Source organism: Homo sapiens, chromosome 10, assembly GCF_000001405.40.
Source record: "Homo sapiens chromosome 10, GRCh38.p14 Primary Assembly".
NCBI lineage: Eukaryota > Metazoa > Chordata > Mammalia > Primates > Hominidae > Homo > Homo sapiens.
This window is the reverse complement of record NC_000010.11, coordinates 79,692,075-79,713,487: the sequence shown is the minus strand read 5'-3', so window position 1 is coordinate 79,713,487 and position 21,413 is coordinate 79,692,075. Positions and strand designations below refer to the sequence as shown.

The 21,413-nt window shown below is 52.4% G+C and overlaps 1 protein-coding gene and 1 long non-coding RNA gene across 3 annotated transcripts in view, besides 1 other annotated feature; one reads left to right on the top strand and one right to left on the bottom strand.

The window, feature by feature from the left end:
* The window catches only part of NUTM2B-AS1 (NUTM2B antisense RNA 1), a 135,095-nt gene that overhangs the window by 113,107 nt on the left and 575 nt on the right, over positions 1–21,413 (top strand). The window lies entirely within an intron of this gene.
* Positions 730–21,373, bottom strand: NUTM2B (NUT family member 2B). 2 transcript variants are annotated; one of them, XM_047425707.1, is made up of 9 exons: positions 13,032–21,373; positions 12,501–12,836; positions 9,497–11,988; positions 6,747–7,446; positions 4,661–4,789; positions 3,549–3,688; positions 2,724–3,106; positions 2,122–2,238; positions 730–1,788 (listed from the first exon to the last, which is right to left on the bottom strand). In XM_047425707.1, the coding sequence occupies exons 3-9, from the start codon at positions 9,876–9,878 to the stop codon at positions 1,003–1,005; spliced, it is 2,637 nt and encodes an 878-aa protein (XP_047281663.1). In that variant the 5' UTR covers positions 9,879–11,988; positions 12,501–12,836; positions 13,032–21,373; the 3' UTR covers positions 730–1,002. The 2 variants fall into 2 exon arrangements, with proteins under 2 accessions (XP_047281663.1, NP_001265424.1); NM_001278495.2 differs by lacking the exons at positions 12,501–12,836; positions 13,032–21,373 and having other exon boundaries at positions 9,497–10,261.
* Positions 1,357–1,857: an enhancer, noted in NCBI's record as "H3K4me1 hESC enhancer chr10:81471387-81471887 (GRCh37/hg19 assembly coordinates)". NCBI's record gives its function as "activates a minimal SCP1, AML or CMV promoter by ChIP-STARR-seq in naive H9 embryonic stem cells {active_cell/tissue: H9 hESC(naive)}" and the evidence as "EXISTENCE:reporter gene assay evidence [ECO:0000049][PMID:30033119]".

The window sequence follows — 21,413 nt, the reverse complement described above, 5'->3', positions numbered from 1 at the left end:
TGGACTGGACATGTTTGTTCCCATTGGTGATGGTGTGTTGGGAGGGAACTGTTTTAGAAACCAATGTAAATCTGTGTCTACATCAATTCCACATGAGTTCAGTCATCATATGGGAAGGGAATCATAGCTGTGGGGGGCTCCATGCAGGACCTTGAGGGCCCCGAGGCCAGTCCCTGTGGCCACAGCAAGGAGCATCTGCTTTAGCTAGTTGGACAAGACTCTCTCCTGCCCAGAAACAGGCAGAAGGACTTCCCCTGCTCCCCACCCATCATCGTATCCCAAACACACCTGTGTGGATGGTCACCTCAACGTCTCCCCTCAGCCCAGTGCCCGCGCTCTTCCTGATGAGGGTTAAGCAGGAGCAGCCTCCTCTCCCCATGTCCATGTTGCAGGTGGCTGCCTTCTCCTCAGCTCCCACCGAGCAGAACAAGAGCCAGCCAGCTCTCTCCAATCCCAGGATTTTCCAGGGATGCTGATGACGATGGGGGGCCCCAAGAAGCCTCCCTAAAGCAGGCAGGGCCTTGTGAGTCGGTAGTGGGAGGGATCAGGGCTTCCTCAGCATCTGTCAGTCCCTGGAGCATCTGAAGGGGCTCCCTACATCAGGAGGAAAGAGTGGGGCCGGCCCCTGTGGGTTCCCAGAGCCTGGCATCTGCCAGTTCCTCTGCCCTCCCTCACAGACACCCTCCACGGAGCAGCACAGCACCGAGGACAGAGGCAGCAGCCCCAAGAGCATTTTCCAAGACAACTACATTTATTCACACTTACACACGAGGCCCCCAACGCACTGCTTCCCACCCCCACTCCCCAGCCCCTTCCCCCCAGACCCTCCCTTCCTGCCCTCCCCATTCAGCCACCCTCTCCCTCCCCTCCCTCCCCTACCCTCCAAAGCTAAGGCCCAGCAAGATCAGCACTGGGGGAGAAGAAGCTTTTGACCGCTTTGGGGCATCGGATGCCAGAGCCCCATCCTTGGGGATTGGCCCCAGAGAGCCTGCTCAGAAGCCCCTACTGGCTACAATGCTGCTTCTTCTCCTTCCTGGAGACCAAGGGGTCACCCTTTCTCTTTTGAGACTGTGAGGGGCCACCCAGCCCCCAAGTCAGGGATTGCTCCCCAGAGACCCTGAGCCCAGGCCCTGGGTAGGGTGTCTTTTCAGCAGGGGACAGGCTTCCAAAGAGAGGTCGCTTCTTGGCCTTGTTGGCAGGAGAAGGTGCTAGGTTGAGGCCTCTTCTCTCAGCAGATGGGGACTGATGAGTTCCCTGGGGTCCCCACTTTTCTGGGCTGAGAAGGCCCGAGGCAGGGACAGGGCTCTGGGGTAGCCACCAGGGCAGAAGCTTGTGCTGGGAACCCAAGAGGAAGGCCAGGCTGGGGAGTTCCTCCTCCTCACTTGACCCCTGAGCCAGCCCATGTGACTCCCTGACAGGAGACCCTCCAGGGAGATCCAAGGCATCCTTGGTACCCACGCCAGGGCAGGTGGGTCTGTGGTCCTGGGGAGGAGAGGTTGGCCAGGCAGCCCTCAGCCCAGGGGAATCCTGACATCCCAAAAGCACAACAGAGTCTTCGGACCTGGCCATGCCAGTGTGTGCTCTGCCTCGTCCCTGAGAGTCCCGGGCAGTCATCTGGGGTGGGCAGGTTTCCATGCCAACCCCTTGTTGGGGGTCAGGGACGTCTCTCTCTGCTCCTTGGCCAGCTGCAAACTTAGAAGAACTTGAGTCCAACCGGGCTGTGCCACGACTAGGGGCTGCCCTCGCATGCTGTTTCTCCTTCAAGGGTGGGAGGCGCTTCTCCACTAGCTGCGGGAGGAAAGGGGGCACTTACTGGCACTGCCCCAGGTGTGAGCAGGGCCCAGGGTGGTGGAGACCAGGGCACTTAGGCGGCAGGTAGGGAAGCCTGAGGCAGCTGGGCTTTATGTCAAAGAGAGAGGGTGTGGCTCTGCCGGGCCTCCCGTTGGGCCTCACCACAGCTTGCATGCTGACTCCCCTCCCTGGCTCCTGTCCATCCTACTCCCTCTGAACCTGCATCTTCCCACTCCAGAGTGGCTCCCCAAGAAGCCGAGCATCCCCAGCGGGGGGGATTAGACAATCAGGTGGGCCTTGTGTGCCAGGTCCCTCCTGCCCCTGGGGTACCTGGGCAAGGGTGAGTCCTTCCTCCTGCTCCAGGTCCTGGCTTAGGGCCAAGAAATCCATCTGTGGATCTGGGGAAAGCAATTCTTCCAGGAATTGGGGATGAATGACGGCCTCCACCTGGAAACAGAAGGAAGAAGGCGTGAGCTTCCTGGGCAGGGAGTAACCTGGAGCCAAGGACACCTGGAGGAGATGCAGAAAGCAGCGAGCGCCCCGTCCCCACCCTCCTGGGGCTGTCTCATATCATGGTGACCACCAGCTACAGACACAGACCACAGACCTGGTAGCTACACACACACAGACAGAGACACACAAACCACACACAGACACACAAACAGACCCACATATGACACAGGAAAAGACACAGACACAGGTAACGTACACACTCCACACTCACACCTACACAGACACACAAAGACACACAGTAACAAACCACAGACACAAACACACAGCAACACACAGACACACACAATCACATACACAGACACTCAAATCCATGGAAATACACACACTGCTGAGTAGCTAAGGAACAGAGCTTAATTCCAAGGACCTGGGAGTGCCAGCCCCTGGAATCCAGCAGACCCCAGCACTCCAGGCCAGCCCACCTTGGTGACGAAGTCTTTCTGGGAACACAGCTTGTCAATGTAGCTCAGGAGGCCCGGGTCTGGGGGCGTCCAGTCCTCTTCCTGTGGCTGCTTCACTTTGCCCTCTTCCCGTTGTTTCTCGGGCTCCCCCGTGGCCCCGAGGGAAGGCCCCAGCAGCTCCTCCATGATGTCCACATACTCCTGCACCACTTCTGGGGGGATCTCCTCAGGGACCTTGGTCTCTGCTGGTCTCTGGGGCCTGGGTGGTGGCAGGCGGGCCTTGGTCTCTGCTCGCCGGTGGGGCCGGGGTGGTGGCCGGCGGGCCTTGGTCACTGGCCTCTGGGGCCTGGGTGGTGGCAGGCAGGCAGTCGGGGCCTTGGGGCCGGCCTTGCTGGGAAGGTACACTGAGGCAGAGAGGGAGGAGGACGGGCGTGGTGAGGGCCGCTCCTCCTGCTCGCACCACACAGGGGAGGGCAGGGCTTGGGGATGTGAAGTGGGTCCCAGCTGGGTCAGGACCACCTGAACCGCAGCGCCCCCGGAGGAGGCAGGAGGGGCACATCTGAGACAGCATCGCTTGGGAGGAAGTTTGGAGCCACCAATATGCCGTGTACTCTCCCCGCTCATCCCTGCTTCCTGGGCAGAGCATATGTGGAGTTTTGGACAGGCGAGGGGAGAGAGTAGCTAGGAAACTTGACCAGGTCAATACCGAACATATGCTCCTGGAAACTGTCCTGTTGGAGGGAGCAAATCCCCCTCTCGAAGGGAAGCATGGGGTGTGGGGACAGTGGCCTCCCTTGGCCCTTTTGGCCTTTGCCATGGCTCCTGTGGGAATGTGGGAAGCCATACCTGGCTGCTTGACCACCTCAGGGGCCGGGGGTCCTCGAGGTTCAAGCCTCGGTGTGGCTGGAGGAGGCAGGCACTGGGGCCCCTTCATCCATTGCGATTTCTGAATCTGCATCTCCTCCTCAGCCTCAAACTCCAGGAACCTGGCGGTGAAGGAGGCCCAGGCTGTGCTGAGAGGGTCCAGGCCCCCTCCCCGCAGGACCAGGCAGCGGCCGAGGGCAGGGATAGGAGGGAGTGCCTCGGGTGGGCTGTCCAGGCCCTCACTGTGTCCCATCCCCCAGTCCCAGGAGAAAACTGCTCCCAGAGTTCCGGGCTCACCCTCCCTCACCCGGCCCCTGCAGAGCCCATGGCATCAACGGGGCTTCCTGACTCAACTCAGGGCCACGAGGTCCAGGAGGGTCTCGGGGGACCCCTCCTCCAGGTTTCAGCTGGCCAGGGGTGGGATTTATGGCAGAAGGCATCAGGGATGATGCCCAGATGCAGGAGTCCTGAGGCTAGGACTGTGGGCCCCTGAAAGATAACCCAGGGGCACGAGGCCTGGGAGACTCCTGGTCAGGAGGAAGCAAAAGCTGAGCTCAGAGGACAGGGCCCCTTTCCCCTGAGGCTGCTGTCTATCTGTCTGCCTTCATGGAGGGGACTGCCCAGGAGCAAAGGCAGTCAGGCCAGAGATGGGTCCCATGGTGTCCCAGGTGCAGATCTCCCCAACCCAACTCCCTGGCCAGGCTGGGATGGGAGAAAACCGACTTCTGGCCACTGCTGTGAGGAGCCTGCACCCTACTCTTGTCCATAGTCACTAGCGCCCCTTCTCCCCATCCCCACAGCTAGAGGTGACCCACTTTGGGCTGTGATGCTGGCTGCTCCTGCCATGACCTCCAGTGTCAAGGCAGGGATGGCCCCAGGCCAGGCAGGGGGTGCTTCCCAATAGGCCAGGACAGAGACCCCAGAACACTCTAGGTGGCAGGAGCAGCTTCCTGAGGGAGCCAGGGGCCCAGAGTATCCTGGGTTTCTCCACACCCTCCTCATACTCCACGTTGAGAAGCCACCACGGCCACCGGGCCTCTGTCATTCACTCTCACCCTGCCACGCGGGCCCTGCTCCCAGGACCCCAGACTCACTTTTCCGCCATCTCGTAGAAGATCATCCGGTCAAAGTTGCTCGTGTGCTGCCATTCCCGCATGGCCCGCCACAGTCCCTCCTCCAGGGTCATGGTGGGCTTCCGCCGGGCCAGCGATCGGAGAACTGGGCTGTAAACCAGTGCAGTCAGTCTCAGTCTATAAGCCCACCCTTCATCCCAAGCCCACCTGGTCCCAACACCTGGCCCCTGTCCTCCCCACACCTGTCCCGCCATCTGTCCCTGTCCTGTTCTCCCCCATGTGGGCTCCTCAGGCCCCAGAACACAACCCCAAGATCAAACATCAACACAAGCTACCAAGTGGCCTCTCCGACTGCCCCTCGAGTCCTCAGTGTTGAGAAGTGGACTCAGTACTATGGGTGGAACATGTGTGTCTCCAACATTCCTGTGCTGAAGCCCTCAGCACCAGTGTGTCAGTATTTGGAGGCAATCAGGGTTAAAGCAGGTCATGAGCGTGGGTCCCAGTCATGGAATCCAAGCCCTGATAAGGGCAGAAGGAGACGCCAGGGCTCTTGCTCTCAGCCACGAGGAGACATAGCCAGAGACAGCTCTCTCCAGCCAGGAGGAGGGCCCTGACCAGACACCCAATCTGCTGTCACCTTGATCTGGGACTTCTGGCCTCTGGAACTGGGAGACATGAATGTGTCTTGATAAAGCACCCAGTCTACGGCATTCGTTACGGCAGAGCCTGAGCTGACTGAGACAGCGTGCACACAGAATGACCTGGGGGTGAGGGTTAAAGTGCAGGTTCCAGGGCCCCAAGACTGAGCATTTAACCGGCTTCCTGGGGACTCTGGAGCAAGGCAGCCCCTGGGGACGTAGCCTCAGGGCCCTGGAGCATGAGGAGCAGGAGCACACGTCCAGAACCAAAGCAGAGCGGTGTCCACGCCACTGCAAGCAGCAGGTCCAGATCCCACATTCCCACAGGAGCCATGGCAAAGGCCTGTGAGCCTGGGGCAGCTCCACCCCAAGAATCAGGGTCCCCAGTGCACCGGGACTCCGCTCCAAGGAGGAATGCAACCAGTTCCAGGGTGCGGGAACAGCGAGATTTTGGGGGATGAAAATGGGGCCACCTTTCACCTACACCCCAGGCAGGGGACTTCCCTAGGGGAACGGCCAGTGTGTTGCACGGTGGATGTGCTCAAGCTCCCGTTTGCTCATCAGCGGGAAACACAGGGTCACAGAGGCACCGCAGGGTGGAGAGAGGCAGGGACTGGGAATGAAACCACAAACTCTCCCAGATGCTGACGTTGCTGCCTCACAGTCACCACAGTCCATGGCCCTGGGCTGCTGGACTCATGGTGCACTCAGAGCTATCACTGGAGCCCGTGGCTTTGGGGAGTGCTCTCCTAGATGGCCTAGTCTTGATAATGATAGTAATGGGGACAGTAATCGTAACTGCTGTCATGTAATGTGTCATAGCATGTGCCAGGCACTGTGCTATGCATGTCATATGTGAGCTCAAGTTATCTCTTCACCATCCTCTGAATGAAGCATCATTGTCCCTTTTTCTAGGAGGGATTGAGGGTGAAGATGCAAATACCTGCCCGGCATCGGCCCCAGTGCAGGGCCCGAGACCATCCCCCTATGCAGGCTCCACCACCGCTGTGCTAACTGGACCTCAGCGGAACTGCAGGCATGTGCCAGGTTCCTGCTGGGCCCTGCAGCTCCTCCCCCCGGCCCCATGTGAGGTGCTCCTGGCCATCAATACTGGGTTAAAGGGGAGGCACTGGGGTGTGTACTCAAAGACCTAAACCCAAACCGTAGCTCACGTCACACCAGGAACCCTCTCTGACCTGGGTCTTCTGTAAACATTGTTGTGAAAATTATTGAAAGTAAGGATTGGCCGGACTCACGGGACAGTGACGGGCAGTTGAGATGAGGCCCCTGACAGTCTGTCCTGAGCCGCAGCCAGATTAATATGGTTGAAAATGTACCTTCCCATAGTGCAGCCCATCACCCTCACAACCGCCCTGCAAGCTCCCCTGAACAGCGTGACCTCCCGTCCATCCAGCAGCCTCTTTACGTGTGAGCTGCAGGACCAGCTCCAATGCCCCGAGGACACTCACATGAGGAAGCACGAAAGCGCTTCGGTGTCAGGACTCTGGGGAAGGTGCCTCCGGGCCAGGGGCTTGTAGTGCTGCCAGAGTCGGAAGTTCTCATAGACACTCCTGGGGTTACAGGAGTCATCTGGCGGGGCCTTGGCCTGGGAGGAAGCCAGGCTGCTCTCTCCATGAGCCCCTTGTGGCCATGGCCCAGCATTCCCTTGGGACACAATGGGGGGCAGCTGGGCAGCCGGTGGTGGTGGTGGTGGAAGAGGAAGGCCCTGGGACCAGCCTCCCTCACAGGCCTGGGTGCCCCCAACCACCTGGGCAGCCATAACAGGCACCACAGGAGCAGCTGCCAGGAGTAGGGGAGGTGGACACACAACACCTCCGCAGAGGGCGCCTGGAGCCTGCCAGACGAGGGGGGCCTGAGTTAGGACCAAGGTCTGCGCCTGAGCGGCCTTCACAGGCCCCACCTCTGTCCTCATCTGGACAAAGACGTTGGAAGCCCCGGCCCCACTCGGGCCGCAGCCATCCTGTTCTGTCACCAGAGGTGTGCTGGGGAAGGTAGACAGCACCAGAGGGCCGCCTGGAGGAGCCCCTGCAGTCACAAGGAGCGGCCCGTGTGCTGGGCCGGGAGCGGGTGTGGTGAAGGGCAGAGCCGTGAACACAGACAGGGAGGTGCCAGGGTTCGCGGTCACGCCCGGTCCCAGCACTGGGTATGCTGTGGAGACAAAGGAAAGAGGTGAATGAGCTGGGGTCTCCAGGTCCACACTAGTCACTGGGGAATCAGAGGGGAGTCCCAACAGCTAAGGGCGTATGACAGGGAAACTGCAGCTTGCAAATGTCCCTGAGTGTGCATCGGATGCTCTGTTCCTCCACGGAGAGTCGCTCCACTAGAGAGCCTGGCCCCGGTCACCAAGACTCCCTGACCCCTGTCTCCCAAGAAGTAACAGCCAAGCCTTTGCTGCCCGAGCGTCTCCCTCGGGTGTCCCTGGCAGACCCTGTCAGCCTCACAGGCATCTCCCAAGCCATGGGTCAGGGATGAGTCTCTCAGCGGCCTGGTGGTCCTCAGCGTGCTCAGCAACAGGTGAGGGGCCTACCCCAGGGCAGTGCTCCGCACTCAGAAGGCCGACAGGAAGCCAGAAGCTTCCGAATATTATGGCCCCATCTCCTCTTCAATCTTCCTTTTCCTGACGCTCTTGTAAACCCCTTTCTTTCCCAGCTCAGACATACCAAAACAAAACCACTGGATGGAAATCTTTCCCAAGCCAGCGCCCTAGGAACCCTGAAGATAATCCATAACTCGTCATGCCCAGCATGCAAGTGATTGTCCTGGCACCACCCACAGCAAGTGCTAAATAGGGGTCAGATTCGGGCCACCCTTTCCGCAGTACTCGATGGTCCCGGCTGCCACTCAGGAAGCTCTGTTCCCAGGGAGCAGGTCTGAGAGGCAGTGGTGGAGTCCCCTGAGACAGTGTCACTGCATAGCCAGCAAAAGCCACACACGATTAGAACACAGCCAGCAAATGGCGAGCAGCAGAGCTAACAGGGGAGGTGTCTAGGGATTTTCACAGCTGCTGGTCATGATACAATAGGTAGTGGGACAAGGAGCCCATCCCTGGCCCTTCTCCTTTGAGCTCCTAATAACTGAACATAGTGACCAACCAAAAACCAGGGGTTCTTGGGCCATGGGCCGGGTGAGGCAAAGTTGTCTGGAACTCATCCCTGTTCAATAGGACCTCATGCAGTCTCTAGTCAAGGGGAATAAGGGATACAGCACATGCACCTCATCATTCAGGACACATATCCTAACTTGAATAATAATAATAAGAGAACCATCTTCCTATTCGTGCGCTACTCTCCTTCCTCTACTGAAAAGGAAACCAGCCTTTCCAGACCCTTCCACTGAGAACCAGCAAGAATCCACACCTGCCCCCCGTTCATGAGGTAGTATAAATGGAATAGGAGCAAATTCTTCATCTCCACAGTAACACAAAGTGCAGAGGACAGGCCATGAGCTAGCAGACAAGAGGAAGTGGGTCTGAAGACCTGAGCTTCCACAAAAGGGCAAACAATTCAGAACAACTCAGGAAACCCAGGCCCTGTGTTGCCTGAACTTCCTCATCTGCCCCCACCCCTGTTAAATCAAAGCCAACAGCTACCTGAACTGACAGAGAAGCCATCTCTAGGGAGAGAGCTGAGGGGCTCTGGGCTGTGGCAGTTACAGCAGCCCCCAGCCTCGCCCACCCAGGGGCTGTCACTACATGCTCTGTCACAGCCAACCCACCCAACAGTTTTCTGGCTGAGACCACTTCTCCCCACTCCTCCCTAAGATCTAGAAAACTCCAGTCCAAATCTCTCTGAACACTATGGAAGGGCACCTTCCAGGTGCCTGAAGATATGGCACAGGGTTCAGGCTTGCCTATCATCCTCCCGGGGCCACCAGCACAACATGATCCCACCACTCCCTACAAACACACAATGACGTGACCTGTCTCCTTCTAGAAAGGATCAATCCATCCACTCTGTCCTTTCTCCTACACGGTGTATTCCCCCAGCCATCTTGTTCCACCTCTAAGAGGCCGTCCTCCCTAAACACAGACTCAGGGTGCCATGGCCATCCCCAGGTGTGATGTCCTTGGGGACATCCAGTCTTCCCTCCCTCCTCAACATCAGCCCTATCAACTGTCCCCGGGGCAGTGTCAAATTTGAATTCCTAAGGAGTTGAGGCATGGCAGACTCAGATAATGCCCTCATCCCTACAGGCTTACCTCCATTCGAAGCCATCCCCTCAGGCTGGGCACTGACCACCGCCGTCTGGCAGTTTCCGCAATAAGAAAAGCCAAGGGTAAGACCCAGAGAGTGACCTGGCTCACCAGATGCTCCTGAGTCCAACTGAAACAGGGAAAATTTGAAAGTAAACAGGTTCCTGGAACATAGGACCCCAGACATTCTGCAGAGGGGGAGGGGCAGTGGGCAGCTGTTAGGGGTGGGGGACGTTCTGTGAAGGGCTTCGGCCATTAGGCAAGAACCTGAGTTTCCCTTCCAACTGGAAGGCAGCAGCAGAGATGGCGTGTGCCTCTTTAGGCAACTTTTAAATTGTCCTTCTGACTCACAGCAAAAGCTTCTACCTGATGGCCCCTTTACTTCCATTCTTTATCAGCAGACCTACTTTTGTGCCAATCAACCCATGCTCCTTCCCACTTTGGCTCTTTCCCAGTCTTGACGAATTTCAACAGCGGCCTCACTTCGTGAACAAAGTTCAAAACACATTTTCAGTCTGAGAAACACAGGGGTTCTTAGGAAGGCAAGGGGACTGGGTGTTTGAAATCAGGATGGTCTCAGCCGATCCAGACTATTAGGTGGCTGTGTGCTTATCATTGTTTAGGAAGCAATCCTTGTACCCCCAGGTCATGCATGTTGCTGGAATCTCTGTCCACACCAGCAGGCCAGCCTTACGTCCCAGCCCCTTTGCTGGAAAGCCTCAATCCAGGAAAGAGTGGCTATGTGACCTACAGCACCGAGACCAGAAATCCTTTCATTTTGTTTCCCAGCATATTGTGCTGGTGTTAAATGTTTATGTTTTATCTTTTGAATGATTTTAATTTAACCAAGCAATACTTTTCATGGCTCCAAATTCAAACTGTGCACAGTGGAATAGGCAATGACCAGCCTTCCTCCCATCTCTTTTCCCTGGCCACATTTTCTTTCCTGGAGGAAACAGGTGTTATCTGATTGTTTCTCATCTTCACTGAAACACACCCTGGCTGGCCTCTCTCAGCTCACTGTTGGCCTCATCTTCACCATACGTTCTTGCTGTTTGGAATCCAGTGTCATCGCATGTGGTTCTCTGCATGGGAATTATTGTAGCCTGTCTTTAAAAAAAGCTTCATTCTCATTTCCACACTGAGAATCACTGTCCGTTTATTAGTGTCAAAATGATAGGAAAGAGCACTCATGTTCTGTGTTGTGAACAAGGGGAGTATTAGAAGAAACTGGTCAAAGGAGATGAGGAGTGAGAACTCAGAGCACAGCAACAAAATCTTCTGAGACACACAAGTCACTCCCTGCTGGGCAGGGTAATTTTGCACGATGGGAGGGTGTTGGGGAAGGGAAGAGGCCTTCAGCCAGACCGGTGCACACTGCAAACATTCACTGAAACACACCCTGTCGGCACTTACGAAGCATTTGCCCCTTTTGAAGACATTTGGACTCAAGAAGGCAGAGTTGCAGGAAAATGTAACAGCGGCCACACTGCAGGGGCAGGGGCAGGGGCAAGTGGTGGATTGCAAGTCTCAAGCCCAGGGTTCTCCCCCACTGCCCCAGTTGTGTGAGAAGGTCATTTCCTAACTCCTGTCCAATATCCCCATGAGTTCTCGGTTTTGTCCCAACTCTGAACCTGAATGGTCCAGCAAGCATTTCTGTGAAATGTCTCCACAGTGGCCACTGGGAGGGGAGTGACCTCCATGCAGTGACTGTCTGGGTGCTCCCAGGCCTTTTGTCCTCTGAGACAGAACTGCCTTCTTACATGCAGCCCTCTTCCACTGTGCAACTCTACCTCCATCTTAGCTGAGAAGATCAACGGAGAGCAATTCAAGCAAAATCATGGTAAACTTACCAAAACAAAACAAACCGTAAACACTTTGGAGATCTTTCTGAGGACTTGATCTTTTACCATGGGGCAAACTTAAATGATTTTCAATCAATAACTTCATCTAAGAGGGATGTTGAAGCAAAATATCATACTCAGATACTGAAGAAGCGCAGAATTTTTGGTTGCTTCCTCCCTTGTCAAGTCAGTCAGCTGATGCTTTCTCAAGATTCTCACACGTGGCTTTGATACAGGATTTGAATGAGTCTTTTTCTGAGCCAGTGATACAAAAAATATATTGTGGAAGTGTCTTGTCTTAATTCTGCAATCGCTTCTGTACATGTTTGAAGTCCTAGACCCCAGGAGGAGAGACAGTCAAATTAGCCAAAGGTAATTTGTGAAGACTGGCCATGGGAGGTGGTGGCTAAAAGTCCTCCGGCCCCTGCTGTCTGAGCATCCCCACAGAAAGTCCTGGGCCGCACTGACAGCTGAGAAAGAACATCTCAGGGCTTGGATCCCCTGTTCAGAGGACACATGCTCCTCCACCCAGTAGAGGAATGGCGGCTCCATGCTGTGTCCTGCAGAGCTCTCAGACTCTGCACTTGAGGCCCTGGGACTGCATCAACGTGAAGGCTCTTCAGTGTTATCACGTGGAGACAGATGATAGGAATCCTGCAAATGAGCAGAAAGGATGTGACGATTAAAGTTTCTTCTGAAGGTATTACAAACTGAAGTCAGTGAGTTGCTTCTCTACTAGTTTTTTATTGCCAACTGGAATTCTGCACTGTGTTGCAGAGTCAGGGATGGGGAGTGTGGAATTGTTCCCTTACTATCTGCTGCTTTATCGACTGAAATTGATCAAGGCTACAACAAAAACATTTCTAGAAATCATTTGAATGCGGTAGGAAAAACTCTGGGAATGGAGTCAGAAGAAAGTATATTTTGGAGTGTGTTTTCAGATCTAAAAATCTTTGCCAGAAATACTCTTTAATGGAACCTCCAGACTGAGTAGGAAAACAGGGCATACTATTTTTTGAAAGGCATGAGCAGGAATGAAATCAATGCCATCCAAAGGGAATGCAAGACATGCAATTTGAGGATACTTTGCTTTAGGATAAACCCTCCAAAGGTAAACCTTTCAGCAAGGGTGTTACCTAAGTGCATGGACTGCAGGTTTGTATTACCGAAAATTAGGAGTGATCGTTGCGGACGCGCTGGTTTCTCAGAGGCACGGTCATGGAGGTTCCAATGAGGGGGCGTTGTCTGGCCCCAGGAAGCACCCAGGTGCCGCGTCCCTCCATTTCCACATCTCCAGCGGGGCCCTCCTAGGGCGGGCTCCTGGCCTGCCCCGTGTGCCGCCGCAGGAGCCTTGAGGCGGGCGAGGTTCCAGCGCGAGGCCGGCCGCCCTCAACCGCTCCCAGCGCCGGTTGCGGCGGTTGATGGCAGGGAGACGCGCAGCACGAGAGCAAAGGGCGGTGACCCACCGGCCTTCGCTCTCATGGCGTCCTTCTTGGTGTTACCTAAAAATAAAGCCAAGGGTGATCAGAAGGTAATCTCACCTCCTGGTCATGCTCCCACTGGTCACCAGTGTCCACGGGGCGACCCCACATTGTGACCAGAGCAGGCCTGTGGCTGTGCTCAAGGCGGGAGCGTTCATAGCTTTCCTAGTGGGGGCCCTGCGGGACGCCCAGGCCGCGCTCCTTTCCCTTGCTCACCTGGCCCTGAAGTGAGGGGGGAGGTGTAACAATGCAGTGGGAACCTCAAAGTGTGTCTCGGCCGTGCCTTTCACATTCCAAACAATGCAAAAGCTTGAAGAAAACCTCAGCAGTTGAAACCGTGATGCAGTTCAGCAAAGAAGTAGCTCCTGTCCCCGTAAAACAGTGAAGTTCTCACGGACGACCTCATTGAGTAAGTTGTGAAGCTTGTTGACTTGATCAGAATGATCAGCCAGCATGCATGTTCTAATACGCTGATTTGTCACTGATAGGAGCAGCTGCAAAGTGGAAGAACAGTCCTTTAGTCATAGTTTGTTCGCTTGGTAGCACAAGTTGGTTGTGGATGCAAGAGTGTGGCCAAAGTCAAGAAAAGCTTCCATGACAATCGCTTACTTATGTGGGATTTACATATAAAAAGTAGTGGTATATTATTTGTAAATTGTAGGCTACACATGTATCTAAAATTTACTGCACACACGTGTGTTATCTTGGGTGGTTGGGTTAGTGTGTACTTGAGAATGTCAGGAAGATTTATTTTGGATTTTGGAGGGTGTGAGATTTGTGCGGGTGGTTTTGTGTATGTGAAAATATGTTTATATGAATTCTTAGTTTGGAATTTGATATGTATTTAATTGGTGAGAATCTAATATGTATTCACATGTGTGGGTTGGTGGTGTCTGTGTGGAGACTGCAGATTAAAGAATGTCATAACTGGGCCGGGCACGGTGGCTCACACCTATAATCCCAGCACTTTGAGAGGCCGAGGCAGATGGATCACCTGAGGTCAGGAGTTTGAGACCAGCCTGACCAACATGGTGAAACCCCGTCTCTACTAAAAATACAAAAATTAGCTGGGTGTGGTGGTGCATGCCTGTAGTCCCAGCTACTCGGGAGGCTGAGGCAGAAGAATCACTTGAACCCAAGAGGCGGAGTTTGCAATGAGCCCAGATCGTGCCACTGCACTCCAGCCTGGGCAACAGAGCGAGACTCCATTCCCCGCCCCCTAAAAAAGAAGGTCATAACTGTTTTTGTGAGAGTGTGTAGGAGTGAGAGTTTATATTTGGAGAATATGAGATGTAAGATATGTATACCAGAAGAATTGGGGTTATATATTTGTGATTTGGGTTGTGAAGATGTATTTTCCATGTGTTTTCTCAGATGAATGTTGGCGATTTGTATTTGTCTAATGTTTGGCAGATTTGGAAGAATTATCTTGTGCACATGGGCAATAACAGAGAAAGTGCTTGTGTCTATTTTGTGGATGTACGCTCTGTTTGGTTTACGTATTTGGGAAATGTAGGAAGACCATTTGTATACTCAGGGCATGTTGCATGGTGATGCGTGCTTCTTTTCATTATTTTCAGGGGGTGTGTATGGCTATTTCAATGTGTGAGGGCAGATCCATGTCTACTGGGGGACTGGTAGGATGAACGTGTGCAGTTATGAGGTGGAGTTTATATGATTCTGTGTCTTGGAAGATGGAGGAGTTATTTCTGTGTGAGCATTTGGAAGTGTGATTACATATGTGCAGGTATTGTGGAACTGTATGTGTATTTGGGGATATAAGGTGGCATGTTTGCATATTTGTGGCGTGTTAGTTAATCGCGGGTATATTTAGGGCATGTAGACAAATACATGAGTATTGAGTCTGTGGGTGTGTTCAAGGGCGTGGCAGTTTAGATGAAGGTTTTGTGGAGCTATGTGCTTGTGTTTTTCAGTAAGTGGTTATTAGGGTTATATATTCTGGGAATTTAGTATGTGTGTGTCTGATAGAGAGATGAGGTTCTCTTTTTATACAGGAGAGTGGGAGAGTTGAATTTATATGTATTAGAGGTATGTGATATGGTTATTGGTTAGTACTTGGCAATGTGGGAGCTGGTTCATACTAGATTGGGATAATTTGGGATTGGGAACTGTTTTTATGGGTATTTATAAATGATATGCTGGAGATATTTCTGTGCATCTTGGGTGTGTATACTGGTTTGTGTGTATATTTATCAGCAGATAGATGAATTATCTAAGTCTGTTTATAGAATACGGGATTGTTAGTATTTAAAGTGTATTTCTTTGGAGAATGCTAGGATGTTCGTACATGTGTTTGGGCATGTTTAGGGGATGAGGTGAGGAGGTTGTATTCCGGAGATGTAGCATATTGATTGGATAGTGTTTCGGGGGATTTATACACTCAGGGATTGGGGATATTTGTGTGAGTTTGTATGTGCCCATGGGTATATGAAAGTTGTGTGCGTATATTAGAGTATTATTGGTGTTTTTGTGGTTTTTTTTTTTTTGTATTGTATGGGTTTTATCTGGGAGGGTGAGGTGTGTATTCATGGGTAGTTTGTGAGTGTGTATATGAGGGGTTTGGGGTATATTAAGACTTAGTGGTCCTCTGTGTCTGTTGTGAAATGTAATACTCGCAGAATTTGGTGTTGCCACTTGTATGTGTGTTCTCAGAGTTCGTGAGGTGGACTTATATGTATTTGATAAAAATAGTTTGTGGTTCTGTGTGTATTTGAGTTTATGTGGCTTCTGTGTTTTGTATTCTGGGAGATGTGGGAGGTTCAGTGCATGTATTTGGAAACAGAGAGGCTGTGTAGGTTGTGTTTGGATTCAAGAATCATGGATTCCTGTATTTTAGAGCTGTGGGATTGTATGTGATTCTTTTTCTGGGTGATGCATGACACAAGTGTTGTATACCTTGTGATTTTTTTTTTTTTGAGCCTATGCCTATAGGATTTTCATTATGTACTGTTAACAAATCTACTGAAAAGGATTTTCTTAAAAAAATAACAAAAGAAAAAAATAGAAATTTGATTCCACTGAGCTGTTTGCAAATCAAGGAGTCCCAGCCTTCAGTGCAAAACAAAGATACACTCTGAAAGAACAAAGAGAGGTATTATCTTTTACAGAGAAATTCGTTCTCAGATTCCCGATCTGGTTCACTCTGCAAATGAGGGATACAAGCTTGTTTATTTCTGATTGGCTGATGCAAGTCACAGTCTATTTCTTAAGTCCATATGATGAAATGGTAACCCTTGATTCAGGTGACATAAACAGGAACAGACAGCTGTGAAAGTCCCAAAGTAACACAAGTACGTGGTTTTTGCAGGAAACAGGGTAAATGTGTGAGACTTGCAGTCAGCAAATGGCTGCTTGGCTCCATTTTGAGTTTAGGCCCAGTTAGCCACTCATGATCAGCCCTTTCAGGGTTCACACTATATATGGGTATATATGGGTACTGTGTTCATTGTACGTGTTTGTATTTGGGCACGTATATATGTACATATATGGTTTTAGCAGTGAGGTGAGCATTTGGGGCAGGTAGAGTTTTGTCTGCAAATTTAAGTAATAATTGGTGCAGGCCATCTGTGTATTTAGGGTACAGGTAGCAGTTGTGTTGCTGGTGGGCTGGTTCAGGTTCTTGACTTTGCTGCACAAAAGAAGTCTTACTTTGAGAGTGAGTCCAACGTAAAAGTAAGCAAGAGAGGTTACTGCAAAGTGAATGTACACTCTGACAGCCGATCAGAGTGGGCTGCTCAAAGGTGAGACAGCATTGACTGACACTGGGGAAACCTCCTTTATGGGAGCCTTACATGACTATTCATGAAGGGGTGGGAAGGGGTGTCACTGTTAAGCACTCTCTGGACTGTTCTCTGGACGTGCATGCGCTATTGCTGCACATGCTAGTGCCTATATCAGGTGAATCATTAACATCTTAAATCTCTACCCAAGGGTGTGTTTTTCACTGTTATAGTGAGCACTGGTCAACCCAGGGACACTAATCATGGGTTTTCGCACTTGTGCGAATTTGGGGATTTCCCCTTCTTCTTTTCCACCTCCTTACTGCAGGACCTCCTTGTGCACTGTCGGATGGTTTGTTCTCTTCATCTGTTTAGCAAGGTTGTTCTCCTTTAATGGAGGCTATGGCCACCCTATCCTATCTCAGTTGTGTGTGTCTGTTCAGGATATATGAGGAGGTTGTGTTCTGGAGGTACATCGTTTGGTTTTGTTTTTATATTTGGGGTGAGAGTTGTGGGTCCTACTCAGGGTGCAGGTAGATTGTGTACACATATTCCTATGAAAGGATGTGGCTGTGCTGGAGCTGGCTTGTACTGGCTTGGGGTAGCCATTGGGCACAGCACATCTCTTCTCATCTCTGTGTTCAGTGGCGTTAGGTTGGTAGTTTAAAATTAGTCATGCTGAGATACTTACACCACTTAAGCATCACAATTCTAGGCTTTCCTATTTCCCCCTGGAGAGCATTTTATTAAGCAGTTAGCAACACACCACTGGGGTGGGGGGCGGTGTGTGTGTTCAGGATCTGTAAGCAAATGTTTGTATGAAGCAAGAATATTGAGGCTTTAATAGGTGTGTATTCTGGGGATTCTATGTGTATTGTAGTGATGCAGAATGACCAGGGAGCATGGTTGAGAAAGACCCTCCCTGGTCATTCTGCATCACTGTGTTACTCCTAAATAGGTGGTTCATTCTTAGGGCCAAAGAATCCATATAAATGGTAGTTTCTTGCTTTTCCTCCTACAGATGGATGCAGGGGTACCTGCACCTTAGGCAGGTGGTTGCTCCTTCAGTATCTGTGTGTTCCTAGCATCTGGGTCCTCAGATGGGTGGGCCTGGTAGACAGAACACTGTGCAGAGCAGAACTTTTCTAGATATTGTCCGTGTGATCAGCACAGTCAGAAAGATGTGGGGTTTCCAGGACAGGAGGTCACATGTGCCATGTCTTCTCTCAGTCCTGATGTCCCTGCTGATTCCTCTGGGGCATGGCGAGTGACGAGGACACCCTCTAACATACGTTCCACGAGATGAAAGCCTGCAGAACCTGTGCCTGCACTACCATCTGCCTCCTGGGTGGGGATACTGTTGGGTGTCAGGCTGAGAGCTAGGCCACCAGTTCTCAACCAACCTGTCCCCATGGGAACCTGAGGCTTCGGGGCTAAGGCAGGACCTCCAGCAGGTACCCAGTGTTGAGAATATGTGTTGGTTTCTGTGTTAGGAGTTTTATCTCAGTGGAGTCTTGGTAAAAAGAGGGAATCAAAGGCACGTGACATTTTCTTCTTTCTCTGGTGAAGTGAGGAATGAATGTTGACCATTTCTTTCTGAAGTTCCGTACAGAAAATGTATACTCAGCCTGAGGAACCAAGGTGATTCCTTAGCTGCTCTTGGAGAAGGTGTCATCTAGTCTTCACAAGGAGTCTTCAGGCACAAGGGCCTGAATCTGACTTCTTGTGGAAAGCATTGGGCAGAGCTTCACAGTCCCACCTAGAGCTGGGCTGTAATTCTAGGGACAAAGTGGAGGAGCAACAAGGAAGTGGTGGGGAGCACACCTTTAGAACCTGGGCCTGGGGAGGGCAGGCCAAGGAAGCCTGAGTTTACACGGGCTCAGGTCCTGGGGCAGAAGCCAGACACAGAGCCTGGGCAGCCAGATTCGCTCCGGCCTGGGTTGTGGGTGGGGATGAGCCTCCTCTTGTGCTCCTGTCTGGGGCACCCCTGAGCTGCAGGTGAAGGTCTTAGTTGCACCTTGGCAGGGATGTACAGCCAGGCCTGGTGCTAAGGAGTGAGGAGGGTAGAGTCAAGGAGAGGAGGCACCGATCTGTGTTCCTTCAGCAATCTGGAGCATGATGTTAGATCCTGTTAGGGCGACCTCCCACTCGCATCTCCTGGATCTTCTGTCACTGGGAGGCTCAGGACCCCAAGAGAGAATGGATTCGGTTTCCCCTGATGTATTCATCTGGTTCTGGGTCCCCATTCTCTCAGCATGTTGGGTGCTGGCCCTGCAGGTGTGGGCGAAGCCTGGCAGGGGTGGGGGTCAGTGAAGTGACACGGGCAGAGCTGGGCAGGCTCTGTCCTTAGGGGTGCTGGGAGCTGGGTTCTGGAGAGACAGGGAGGCCCCCCTGAGAAAATGTGGCTCTGATGTTTCTGAGAACCCTGTCGATGGGTTCTTTCCAAAGGCTCAGGATGCCCCTGGAGTGGCAAGCGCATCTCAGCTTCAGCTTCATGTTTCTTTTTTTTCCTTTTCTTTCTTTCTTTTTTTTTTTGAGACAGAGTCTCCCTCTGTTGCCCAGGCTGGAGTGCAGTGGCACGATCTCGGCTCACTGCAAACTCCGCCTCCCGGGTTCTAAGCCATTCTCCTGCGTCAGCCTCCAGAGTAGCTGGGATTACAGGCATGCACCACCAAGCCCAGCTAATTTTGTATTTTTAGTAAAGATGGGGTTTTGCCATGTTGGCCAGGCTGGTCTCGAACTCCTAACCTCAGGTGATCCACCTGCCTCGGCCTCCCAAAGTGCTGGGATTACAGGTGTGAGCCATTACGTCTGGCCAGCTTGTTTCTGATTGGGTGACTCAACCTTCCATTAGTTTCTCTATTGCACATGGGGCCACAAGCCCAGCAGAGGGAGCCACGTGATGGAGGTGTCCACCTGCTGACCCCACAGCCACCACCTCCTCCCTCAGACTCACCCGAGGATTTGTGGGCCTTGCTCCTTACCGGGAGTCGCCTTCTGGCCTTTTCTTCCTCGTGGTGAATCCTCTTGCCAATAAAATGTGCCAACATCACTTCCTTTAATGTTCTGATAGCCACTTCCCTGTGGTACAAATGGATTCCTGGTAGTTCTTGCTGCCCCCTCATGTCCTGCCCTAACATAATGAGGGTATGTTGCACTAGTTGTATTGTGTTTTGTTGGCGGAATGGAGCTCTGTCTGCTTTTATAATATATGTCTTAAAAAAATGCACTGTAATGTATACCAGGTAGATCTTCTTGGATTTCTTTGTTTTGAAATGGGTAGTCATGGATCCTGAGTTTTAGGGGAGAAGTATATGTGTCTCTTGGTCTTGAATCAGCACAGAAAATTTCCCATGCAGGTTGCATGAATGGCAATTGCTAGAATCGCTGAGGTCGGCCTGAGCCATTTGTTCTGGGCTCAATATTTTTGAGGAGTGTATGTCATGAAATGTATCCTGCACCACCCACTTCTCTCTATGAACAGAAGATATCCTCAGCTGTGTGCTGAGTGGCCCCTCTGTCCAGCCCCTTAGAAGCCTCTGACTGTTCTGTTTCCCAGGAGCTGATAGGAAAAAGGATATGTCCCCATCTCAGTCCTCACTGGGCCCTGGTGCCCTATAGTGACACAGCAGTGGGTCTGAGAACACTCAGAAGGAAACAGTGAGGCCACTGAGGAACTGCCCCTTCAAAGGAGGCTGTTCTGATGCCCACTGCAGGAGCCTGGGGTCAAAGGAAGGAGACTCAGCGGGCAAGACCAGGAAAGGCAGAATGGGCTGACCAGGGAAGGCAGAATGGGCCAGCCAGGCAGACACTAGGAACAGAGCAGGGAGAGCTGGGGGTCGGGAATGGAGTGGGAGGCAGGCTTTGACTGCACAAAGAGGTGGAGGGGGCATGTCAGCGCATATGAAGCCCCTCTACACACAAGAGTCCCCAGCCTCTCCTTCCTTGCCCAGACCCATTTCCTGGGGCTGTAAGTAGGGAACACTGGGGGAATGTCAGCTTGGGGCTCAGTGGTCTATGTCCTTCTTGCAGATCAAGACTTTATTCAACCATCCTTTGAGTAATAAGTATGTCCATGGTGTCTGCAGGTTAGAATTGGGATATTTAAGGAGACCAGGGCCTTCTCTTGGGAGTCACCCCAGGTTCCTAATGAGAGGTGGAGGCAAATGTAGCTGGAGGTATCCCAGGAGGGACAAGCCCAGGCCCAGCATGGGAAGCAGGTGGTGAGAGATGGGGTGTTCTACCAGCAAGGACACAGCTGCTGTGCTGACAGTGGGCACTGGAAAGGGCTGTGGTTGGGTGATCCTCCCCCATGAGGACCCCTTATTTTAGGGGGAGCTTCATTGCCAGAAGATGTAACTGAAATGTCACTTCCTGTATGAAATGTCTTCTCTGCACTCAGCACTCCCCCAGTGGCAGGGAAGTTTCTCAAGGGGCAGCCATGGTCAGGTCAAGGGTACAGGCTCTGGAGCCAGACTGCTGGCTCAAATCCCAGAAGCCCCAGTGTATACCTGACCTTTGTGACCTTGGGCAAGTATTTTAACCTCTCTGAGCCTCAGCTTACTTATCTGTAAAATGAGGATAATAGTGCTAACTCCACAGGGTTATAAAGATTGGCATTCATATGTGTAAAGTGCTTGGAGCAGTGAAGGCTGTACTGTAGGTGCATATGGCATAACTGTTAGCTAATGTGATTACTAGTCCATACGGAACATAACTGCCCATTTCCCTAGTATAGGCCCCCTCCCATCCACACTCAGAGCCCCCTCTTCTGATGGCCCCAGGGGAGCATGGGCTCCCTGCTCTTGCCCCTAAATCCCCAACTTCAACCTCTGTCTCGTAGCAAAATTAATGCTGG